This window comes from Homo sapiens, chromosome 4, assembly GCF_000001405.40.
Source record: "Homo sapiens chromosome 4, GRCh38.p14 Primary Assembly".
Lineage (NCBI taxonomy): Eukaryota > Metazoa > Chordata > Mammalia > Primates > Hominidae > Homo > Homo sapiens.
In genome coordinates, this window is record NC_000004.12 from 171,537,419 (window position 1) to 171,549,717 (window position 12,299).

General features: G+C 38.2%; 1 long non-coding RNA gene across 1 annotated transcript in view; it reads left to right on the top strand.

The window, feature by feature from the left end:
- The window catches only part of LOC105377535 (uncharacterized), a 92,939-nt gene that overhangs the window by 43,369 nt on the left and 37,271 nt on the right, over positions 1–12,299 (top strand). The gene's annotated exons all lie outside the window — the stretch shown is intronic.

Below are 12,299 nucleotides of genomic sequence, written 5' to 3' on the forward strand. Positions count from 1 at the left end.
ATATCTAGATAAAATGATAATAACGAGGACTCACTAAAGCTTAATAGATTTTCAGGGAATTTTATGCAAAAAATACTACAAGTTAAAATCTGGCCTGCAAACATTGCAACTTTTCTAATCCTAAAGCAACTCCAGGTACCCTCAAACTGCACCAACAAAAAGTAGGCATAGAAAGCTGTGTATGCCTCAAGAAATATTTTTTCTCAGATGAGGACTTGAAGGGTATGGCTAAGGCATAGATAGGTCACAGAAGATATCAAAAACTGAATTATTTCCAGAGAGCAGAACCAGACATGGCCATAATTACTAACTGAAGAATTTATTTCCATAAAGGAAAAATTCCTATACTCTACAAAAGAAGTGGAAAAATAATAATTCTGTAGGCAAAAGACTTCTCTGTGTTTTTCACTTTTTCCAATTCTGAATGGGCCACAGGTTCATATTCCAGCACTGTGTGTTGAGTATGTTGTGTGCTGGTAACTTTTATATGTTTCTGGAGCTTGAAAAGCTGTGTATCACCCAGTTTTCCTGGGCTATTCCTTAAAAGCAGCAACCAGATGTGACTGTCAGTCATCTCTCTTGGGGAGAGGTGAGACTCTTCTATAGGTGTAAAAACAACAATAAAAACAAATTTGGATTTGGGTGAATAAAAGGAATGGATTGCCATTTTCCTTTTTATTGCCTTTGCTTACTTCTGGTCTACTCTCAACACAATAGCCAGAGTTTTTCTGTTAACAAGTGAGTCATATAATGCCACTCCTTTTCCTAAGTCCTCCAGTAGCTTCCAATCTCACTCAGAGTAAAAGCCTAGTCTCCCATGAGGCCATTCATTGTCTTGCCTCCTAGATTATTTTCTTCTTGCTATTACTGAACTTGCTAGACCTTCTCCAGCCTCAGACCATTTGCACTTGCAATTATGTTTTCTCTTATCCTCCAAGAAAATCTGAATAGTTTCTTCTTCATTTCCTTCAGATTTTACACATATGACACTTTCAAAATGAGACCTAACCTGACGACCCTATTACTGTCTATTGGAACTCTCTGTGAACTTATGGAGCAGTGACAATCATGACAACTAGGAACACATTTTACTGATATATGTTGCATATTGTTGGTCTTACTCCATTAGAAATGTAAGCGTTAGGATTGTGGGGATTTTTGTTTGATTTTGTTTTTCCTTTTTCTGTATTTTACTGCTAACTATTGACTCCTAAAATTTGTGCCTGTCATATTGGATCACTTCATAAATATGAAGTGGATGTTGACTAAAATGATAGTGCCCCCAAGTTGAGAAAGGGTATGAACTGTTGATATAGGAACAAGAGCTTCCTAGCATCCTCAAAAGTTGTGTGTTGAAAGGCTGCATTGCACTCTCTAAAAGCATTTCCTGAAAGATAGCTTGAAAGGCTGCATTGCACCCTCTAAAAGCATTTCCTGAAAGATAGCTGGCAAAGATCCTTTACCTTTTTTCTTCCTTCCTTTTGCGTCATACTCAGTAGAATGTTATGCAATGTCTGGAGACCTACCCACAGCTTTGGCTTTCAGAATAAGATGCTTATTCTACAGGTGACAGAAAGATATGGTGCAAGGAGTTTGCTTGCAAGATCTCACAGAACACAGTCACTGTGTTAGTTGTGATAGTTAATTTTATCTGTCAACTTCATTGGGCCATAGGCCTTTCAGACTGTTTGATCAAACATTATGCAGGGTGTTTTTGTGAGGGTGTTTTGGGGCGAGTTTAGCATTTGAATCAGTAGAATGAATAAATCAGATTGTCCTCCCTAATGTGGGTAGGCCTCATTCAATCAATTGAAGGCTTGAATAGAGCCAAAAGGCTTATCCTTCCCCAAGAAAAAGAGAATTTTTCATATTAGACTTTGTTGAAACCAATATTTTGGGTATTTAACTGCCTTGAGGCACAAACTGAAACTTTCTGTCTCAAGCCTGCCAGCTTTTGGATAGGAACCATATCACTGGCTCTTTGGAGCCTCCAGCTTCCTGAATCAGCTGTAGATTCTGTAATGTGCCTGGCCACAGAAGCATGCGAGCCAATTCCTTGCAATTCATCTTTACGTATATACACATATATCCACATATGTGATAGTTAATTTTAGGTGTCACCTTGACTGGATTACGGAATACACAGGTAGCTGCTAAAGCATTATTCCTAGGTGTGTCTTTGTGAGTGTTTCCAGAGAAGACTGGCATGTGAGTTAATAGAATGAGTGGGGAAGATCTGCCCTCAACATGGGCAGGTAACATCCATTTAGCTGGCGCCCCCAATAGAACAAAAAGGCAGAGAAAAGACAAATTCATTCTCTCTCCTGGAGCTAGAGCACTCTTCTCCCACCCTTAGACATCAGAACTTCAGTTTCTACAGCCCTTGGAATTCAGGACTTGGCCTCAGTAACCTACAGGTCCCCATGCCTTTAGCCTGGACTGAGAGTTTGACCATCGGCTTCTCTGATTCCCTGATGCTTTCAGACTTGAACTGATCCATATTCCTTACATCCTTGATAGGCTTACAGATGGCCTATTATGGGACTCCTCAACCTCCATAATTTTTCTAGTAAATGCCTTCTCATCTATCTATTCATCCATCATCCATCTATCTATTGATCTAGCCATCCATCCATCCATTACCTATCTATCCATCCATCTATCCATCCATCCATCATCTATCTATCCCTCTAACCATCCATCCATTACCTATTAATCTATCCATCCATCATCTATCTATCCATCCGTCCTTCCACCATCCATCTATCCATCTATCCATTTCCTATCTATCAATCTATCCCTCATCTATCTGTCCATCTATCCCTCATCTGTCTATCCATTATCTATCTATCTATCATCTATCTATCTATCTATCTATTTATCTATCTATCTATCTATCTATCATCTTTTACTGGTTCTGTCTCTCTGGAGAACTCTGGTTAATACACCAGTCCTAACTGGCTGTGAAGGATATTTGTGCATTTTTTTTCCATTATGGCTGAAACTAATCCTATTGAATACAAAGAAATCAATTTTCTTTCACTACAAACTTAGGAATAAAAATTTCTTTATTCATACTTGTAATATAAATAAGAAAGTCAAAAACACTGAACAGCTCAGCATACCAAATATCCATTAAATATGGTATTTGTCCTCCTAAATTGATTCTTCAGTTTTCTTAATAGGGATCATGTATTAATATAGTATCTGAGGATCATTATTTTAATTTGGGTTTGACCTAAGAGGCTGGCCTGCTTATGAGTTTTTTTCAACCAGTGGATATTTCTGAGATGTAGCTGCTTTCTATAGAAAGATTCATATGTTTTTGGAGCACTGGATTCCCAAAAAGACCATTGGCTATTTTTCCTAAACTTTTGTATTTCTTGTATTTTAGTTATTTTGTATTGGCCAAGCATCCTTTTAATTGTTTTGCAATCATTTTGTGTGTTTTACAATTATATTCAGTAAAAGTGATACTGAGAGAAATCCTTAATGAACCAAATGTTGAAAAATAAAGGTTGGTTTCACTAATACTTTTTGTTGTAAATTAATATTTAAAACAAAATTCATCTTGAATTTCTACCTCCGCTTTAAGTATAAGAACTTTTTATTATTTTTATAGCAGGGGTCATCTAACTCTTTTTTAAGAGGCAAATAGTAAATAATTTAGAATTTGTGGTCCACACAGCCTCTGTCACAACTCTACACTCGACTTTGTTGTTGTAGACAATATGTGAGTGGGTATGAGTGTGTTCTAATAAGACTTTACAAAAACAAGTGGGAGGAATTTGGCACTTGAAATGTAATTTGTCAACCCCTGTTTTAAAGGACAAAAGGGAGTCTTATTTTCTTTATTTCTTTATTCTTTTTTTTTTAATTTATTGAGACAGAGTCTCACTCTGTCGCCCAGGCTGGAGTGCAGTGGTACGATCTTAGCTCACTGCAACCTCAGCCTCCTGGGTTCAAGTGATTCTCCTGCCTCAGCCTCCTGTGTAGCTGGGATTACAGGCACCCGCCACCACGCCGAGCTAATTTTTGTATCTTTACTAGAGACAGGGTCTCGCCATGTTGGCCAGGCTGGTCTTGAACCCCTGACCTCAGGTGATCCGTCCGCCTTGGCCTCCCAAAGTGCTGGGATTACTGGCGCAAGCCACTGCACCAGGCCTGGAAGTCTTATTTTCTTACTGGATAACAGGAATATCACTGAAGAGAACTAATGTACCTGGACCTTCCTAAGATGAGCCACTCAAGACATCCACCCCTGATAGCAACTTAGAAACAGTCTACCTAGACATCCCTGGGGCAAATCACCCTAAATAACAGGAACACACTTAACCACCTTCAGGCCTTTTTCAGCTTACACCAACACATCTAACTGAGAAATAAAAATAAAATACTAAGTTCCCCAGCTGACTGAATGAACCCTCTCATGGCCAAGGAGACTCCAGAGAAACCTTGAAAACTGAGTTCCCCGCCATGATCAATGGGAGTTGAGACATTCCACATTATACCTCCTCCCTCATTAACCACCATTAGACTTTTTTTTTCTCAGAGTTGTACAGAAATCAGCCCTTTCAAAACACTTGCTCCACTGCTGATTTCAGCCAGCTGAAGAAGCTGTAACCAAAACCCCGTCTCTTTTTGTGGTTTCAACACAAGAACTGACCAGCGTTCCTTTCTGATAAGAGACGACCACCACAAACTGGCTTTGGCTGGTCCATGAGGGCTGGACACATAGTGCCTCTGTGTCTTCTGTTTCATCTTTTGATGTATAGGCCTAATTTTAGTGTATTTAAATGTTGTCTCCAACACAAAGTGAATATGGGAAGTTTGTAACATGCATGTTTGCTTATTACGCACGCAAGTGCCTTCTGCATTCATATTCATAGCTCTTCCTATAACCTATTGAGTATGTATGCTCAGTCAACTCATTCAGAATAAATTCCTGTCTCACCTTCCTTCTTCAAAGTGCCTGCTTTGGGTTTCTGTCAGATGCTGTGCTTCACAGTTGCAGGTTGTGACCCTTTATAAGAAATAATGCTTTCCTCTCCAAATTTATGAACTCCGTGATTCTTCATTGAGCATAACTATTTAAGAGAAATCTTAGAAGTATGGTATCTTTGGGAACCCATGCAATCAGAGTATTTCTTTCAAATGTAGTCAGTTCACTATTCCTCACTGATATATAACACTCAGAATGTGGAGAATCTGAAGGACAGGGGACGTACTTTATCTGATTCATTAAAGTAACATTTCTGAGAATGACACAAACGTGAAACTTATGTTGCATGCTGAGAGTTGCATCAATAGCAGCTTCCAACATAACATGTGCAAGAAATTTTTCTCCTCAAAGGCTTGAGTGCCATAATAGAGAGATGGAAAGATAGATGTATAAATAGATGTAGATATGTGTATATACATACACATACATACATATATATGCACATATATTTTGCATATATTATCACAATATGGTAAAGACTGTTTTATGCTGTGATGCACTGTGAGCTTCATGCAACTTGACATGCTTGTTATCAATGTTTATTCCTTCTGAGTCCATTATTTTCATACATTTTTAGGGCTACATTGTGTATGCAACATAAAAACACATTTTTCTATTTCATATCCCCCCCAAAGGTTCAAAGAGAAACTGGGAACAAATTATAAATCTGTGAATATTGATATAAATACTGTATAAATATGTATATATAAATATAAATATTTTACTTCACAATTCCGTATTTAAACAGTTATCATCCTTCAGTTTTTTCTGAAGTTGAGAAAATTCTTTTTTTAATGTTTCTAAATTAATTTTGAATGGATGCAAAATATTGACATAAAATGTAGGACCTGCTAATTTTCTCTTGAATTCTAAACCTGAATTTTGATAGAAAACAAATTTTTTGTCAAAATTTTCTACTCTTTTTTTACTTTTTTGTTATTTTTTATATATCCAATCAATATTTATTGAACCTAAACTCTTAATTCTTATTTAATTTTAATTCTGGCTTTATCTGTGTTGAATTATTATTTTCCAAATACTTCTGACTAGCTATGCTGCTCACATTTACCTAACATACAGTAATACGGTTGAGTTTGTTTACATACCTTACCACAGGCTTTAACTGATTTTCTGTTAATATTTTTGTCCCTATCCTTAAGCTTTCACAAAATAACTGTATGAAACAAGGTAAAAACTCAAAATAGTTTAATCACCTGAAAGGTGGAGAATAGAAATCCTTAAGAAAAGTGTTGGGACCAGGAATCACACTCAACACCTACTTCTCTTTCATTGACAAGGGCCAATCTTTCAGAGTTATGTTTATTTTAGCTCTTGAAGATCTCTCGAAATTCCTATATGTCTCTTTCTCCATTGGTCTCACCCTAATATAATCCAGCATCCTTATTTGACTCCCAAATCCCTCTGTTTCCAACACAGGAGCCCCAGTGATGTCTGTAAATACACACCTAATCAGATACCCTGCTGCTTACAGTATTTCAATATCTGCTGCTTGCGGTATTTCAATATCTTCCTTTGGCTTTTGCAATAAAGACCAAAGTCCTTAACCTGGACTAAAAGGATCTGGATAGGCTAGCCCCTGTCTACCTTGATAGCCACTTCCTGTATTTTTATATCACTATATACTGCTACTTCATACATTGTTAAGTTTTTGTTGATTTGTGTGATTTAATTAATATCTATTTGTTCCATTAGAAAGCAACTTCCATCTATGTAAGTAAATATTAACTGCTTATCATTGAATCTCCAGGGTCTAATATGATGTTCAGATGATAGTAGCTTATTAATAAATATGTATTGAATAAAAGAGAATATGGAATAATTATATTCAACCCTCTATGAATTCTTTGGTTTGCATTCAACAAATACTTATTAAGTCCTGAAAATGTGTCAGGCATTCTTCTTGGCTTTTGAGATTCATCAGTGAATGAAAGAAACAAAGCTTCCCTACTCTAATGCTGTCTTAAGTTAGTGTGGGTAATAGATATTAAATAATAAATATAATAAATGAATGAATTGTTTTACAACTTGTGAAAAGTTAGAGCAGCATACATAAAATTGGGGGAAATTGGGGAGGGGAAAGCTGCAGTATTAAATAGACTTGCAGCCAGGCACAGTGGCTCACGCCTGTAATCCCAACACTTTGGGAAGCCGAGGCGGGCGGATCACGAGGTCAGGAGATCGAGACCATCCTGGCTAACACGATGAAACCCCGTCTCTACTAAAAATACAAAAAAATTAGCCAGGTGTGGTGGCGGGCACCTGTAGTCCCAGCTACTCAGGAGGCTGAGGCAGGAGAATGGCGGGAACCCAGGAGGCGGAGCTTGCAGTGAGCCGAGATGGCGCCACTGCACTCCAGCCTGGGCAACAGAGTGAGACTCCGTCTCAAAAAAATAAAATAAAATAAAATGAATAAATAAATAAATAGACTTGCTAGGGTAGACTTTACTGAGGTGAGAATTGAGCAAGGTAAGATAATGGTGAAGATGGGTTTTGAAGGTGAGGGATTTAGATATGTGGATATCTGGTGGAAAGCATTTAAGACAAAGAATAATTGGAGCAAATCGCTGCAGTGAGAGCACTCCTGATGTCTTTGGCACGTGATCAGCACGACAAGAGTCATAGGAAGTCCAAAAAGTAGCAGGGATGGGTGATGGGCTTGATGACAGACCATGAAGGACTTTGTTGTTTACTCTAAAGACTTCTGCTTTTATTGTGAGTGTGATAGGTAACCGCTGGAAAGTTTTCAGTGAGGAATAACATGTCTTATTTATGGTTTATGGGTCATGTTGGCTACTATTTTGAGAAAAAACAAAGGGTGAAAGGTAGTCATTAAAAAAAAAATCAGTGAGGATGCTATTTCAATAATCCACGACAATGGTAGTTTGAATGCAGGTATTAGAAAAAAAATGCTAATAGGCTGAGTTTCTCCACATATTGTGATTATAGAGCCAAGTGGATTTCCTGATGAATTGGATACAGAAAATAAGAGAAAGAACAGAATTAAAAACTACTACAAACATTGGACCTAACAAATAGGAGGGTTAGAGAGGCCATAACTATAATGAAAATAGCCACACATGATGCAGGTTTAAGCAGGAAGGGGAAAATCAACAGTTCACCTTTGAAAATTTTAAGCTTGAGATGTCTACTGGACATCCAAGTAGAGATGACTATAAGTGGAGCTGTAAAACTCAGAATTAGAAAGAGTAATCTGGTTTGGAAGAACCAGTTTGAGAATCATTGACTTAAAGCCACAATTGAAGGCCGCGAAAGTAAATGACATTAGCAAAAGGTGAGTGTATAGAACAAAAAGAGCTAGCTGGGCGCAGTGGCTCACGCCTGTAATCCCAGCACTTTGGGAGGCCGAGGTGGGCGGATCACAAGGTCAGGAGATCGAGACCATCCTGGGTAACACGGTGAAACCCCGTCTCTACTAAAAATACAAAAAATTAGCCGGGCGTGGTGGTGGGTGCCTGTAGTCCCAGCTACTCGGGAGGCTGAGGCGGGAGAATGGCGTGAACCTGGGAGGCAGAGCTTGCAGTGAGCCGAGATCTCACCACTGCACTCCATCCAGCCTGGGCGACAGAGCAAGACTCCGTCTCACAAAAAAAAAAAAAAAAAAAAAGAGCTGAGCACCAAGGACTGAGCCCTAGGATAGTACAAGCGAAGGAGCAAAAAGGAAGATAAAGAACATGCAAAGAAAACAGGAACAGAGTGACTAGTTACGTAGCAGGAAAATCAAAACTGTGAGTGTACTGACAGCCAAGTTGAGACAGTAAAAAGCATAATATAATAAAGTCATGATCAATTTGGACACATACTGAGGTTGGGCTAAGATGGAGATTAAAATATGTATTTCAGTGTTGCTTTTGGGAGTCTGTATCTTTTAAAGTAAATATAAGAATCCATAGAATTAACTTCATTAAAGTTGTTCTGATTTGCTTTACATATGTAGGTTTGATGATGGGAAGTAGGGATTGTAGTTCTTTATATAATCTAATGTATTAAAATCATAGTTTTGATGTTTTCAAAATTTAACTTATTTGGCTTTATTTTATATGCATATAAATTTTTCATAGCAATGAATATGACTAAAGATAAATTAAAATTTGTACTTCAGTTCTGTGAAATACTTGATCGAATGTTTAGAAATACTTAGATGATATAATTCAACTTTTAGTAGTAGCAAGAAGTAATGCATTCTGAAAAGTGAACTTTGAATAACTGTCACTGTCATAATTTTATTTAAGAGGACAAGCTCTATAAAAGGTTATTGAAGCTAATTTGAATGATAAATAGAATTCTACTAAAATAGCAGTTTACTATTAGCTATTCCAGAGGAGTTTGGGGAATTTTAGGCTCTATGGGACAGATTTTCTGTCCAGAGTTTCTTCCTAGCATCTCTAATACGAGTTGCACCTTATTAACCCAGGGTTTGCGTTGTGCTCTGTTAATTCTATTTCTTTTCTTTTTTTTTTTTTTTTTGAGACCGAGTCTTGCTCTGTTGCCCAGGCTGGAGTGCAGTGGCACGATCTCAGCTCACTGCAAGCTCTGCCTCCAGGGTTCACGCCATTCTCCTGGCTCAGCCTCCCCAGTAGCTGGGACCACAGGTGCCCACCACCATGACCGGCTAATTTTTGTGTGTTTTTTAGGAGAGAGGGGGTTTCACCGTGTTAGCCAGGCTGGTCTCGATCTCATGAACTTGTGATCCGCCCACCTCGGCCTCCCAAAGTGCTGGGATTATAGGCATGAGCCAATGTACCCTATAATTTAGTGTAACATCTTAGTCAATTTTTTTCAAAGTTAACCTTTTATCCTCCATGTTTACAGAGTATTACATAGAGCCATTTAAGTTTACATTGCTTCCAATCATTTCTGTAGCTAAACAGAATGCACATGTTTTCAAAGTGAAATTATGACCCCAAAAAAACAGTTTAATGATTGTGTGCAGACATTTTGAAATCTAGGCATATGATTGACTTTTAGTGTATTAAAATCAGAAGCCCAGAAAATGAATGCTGAGATGCATTATATAGAGGGTAGGAAATAAGATAATCAGCAAATATGTAGCCTGCATTCCTCAAAGGAATATAAAGCATTAGAATGTAGGTAAGATTTCAGTTTTTGCTTTAAAATTTTTTATTTTCTATGTGATTTTTGATACTGTTAGCCAAAGATGCTGTGGCTAATAGTGCTATTTTCTGAAAGGATATGTATGTATCTGAAAGTACTATTACATCAATCTGTGGTGTTTTGTCTCAGTCGTTCCTGGGGTGGATTCCATTATCTGCAGCTCTATTGCGTTATGGATAACACTTTGCTTCTCTTTGGACAGAGTATGCTTCTAATTGTTTGCACACTGTGGTGCTTTGTAGCTTTCTTCTGCCTGTTACTACATTTCATTGCCCTCAAAGGGGGGCTTCTGAGCTCTTGAAAGATTTCTTAAACCCACATTCTGTTCTGCTCGCCCTTATGCAGCTTTTTGGAAGCATTTACCTCGACAACCCAGTGTTCTGTTCTGTTGACTGTGAACATGTGGCTTTTTGTCGCAAAGCTAATTTGCAGTGATCATTTTTGAAGCTTTAGGTTGAATGCATTGCTTTAAAATAAGAATTATGTCACAAACAAAAGTTGAGTTGAAAGTGTTTCCACTGATGAGTTTTGTGTAATATAAAATATATATGAAGGAAAATAATAACAGTTGATTCTTATTTACATCCCACAAATTAAAATATGGGGCTGAAAAGTTATTTTTTTTTGAGACGGAGTCTCGCTCTGTCGCCCAGGCTGGAGTGCAGTGGCGGGATCTCGGCTCACTGCAAGCTCCGCCTCCCGGGTTCACGCCATTCTCCTGCCTCAGCCTCCCAAGTAGCTGGGACTACAGGCGCCCGCCACTACGCCCGGCTAATTTTTTTTGTATTTTTAGTAGAGACGGGGTTTCACCGTTTTAGCCGGGATGGTCTCGATCTCCTGACCTCGTGATCCGCCCGCCTCGGCCTCCCAAAGTGCTGGGATTACAGGCGTGAGCCACCGCGCCCGGCCAAAAGTTATTTTTAAAGTTACTTTCTTAGAGGGTCATGTATACTATGCAATTAAAATTAGACTTGCTACCGTATATATTTTTACTGACAGAAAACAATAGTACACAAATCCAGTCAATAATTTTTGAGGCTCAAGATGGCTGATTAGATGTAGCTACAGTGCTCCTCTTCCATGGAGAGGAACCAAAATATCCAGTAAATCTTCACACTCTAAACATATATTTTGTGAGAAAACACTGAAATTCATTAGAGAGGCAATGGGAAATACTGTGGTTGAAGAGGGAGTAAGCTGGGCTGCCTGCTCAGTTACGGGTAGCCTACAAGCCCAAATCTCACCATTATGCAATATATGTTACATAGACATGTAACAAACCTGCACAGGTACCCCCTGTAGCTATACAAAGAAAGAAAAGAAAAAAACAATTCAAAGAAAGGCATATCAAATGTTTAACTGTGTAAGGAGAAGAAAAAGACAGCTTGTGAATAAAATAATTAAAATGGAAAATAATACTGTTAAAATACTGAAAAAAAATACTGTTTCAAGTATTTAGTGCGAAGAACTGAAATAAAAAAGCCACAGGTCATTCATAAAGTACCACAAATGATCATAATAGTATGAAGAATTTCACTTATTAAGATTTGAGTAGAAGACTATTTTAAAATCCTTAACAATTCTAAACTTGTATTTACATAGGTTTCACAAAGTAGCTAAAAAATAAAACTCACTGGGGAGGCCAGACAAAATAAAAAATAACAAAAGACACAGTATGAAGAAAGGCATCATGGGAGACCAGTAACTTAATTGCCATCCTCTCCTTTGCCAGAGGGGAAACCTTTTATTTACCACATGAATATTAATGTCTCAGTTATCTCAATCAGTGTTTGGGGCCCCTGAGGAAGATGATAATTTCATAATGACTTTTTTTTTTTTTTAAGAGACAAGGTCTCACTCTGTTGCCCAGGCTTGACAGCAGTGGCGTGATTATACCCCACCACAGTCTCCAATTACGGGGCCCAAGGATCCTCCTGCCTCAGCCTGCCACATAGCTGGGACTACAGATACGCGACACCGTGCCTGGCCAATTTTGTACTTTTTGTGAAGACAAGGTCTCTCTATGTTGCACAAGCTGATTTTGAAGCAATCCTGCCTCAGCCTCCCAAAGCACTGGGATTACAGGCCTGAGCCACTGCAATTGGCCCCTCAAAGAATTATAACTTTGAGAAATTCGATCTCA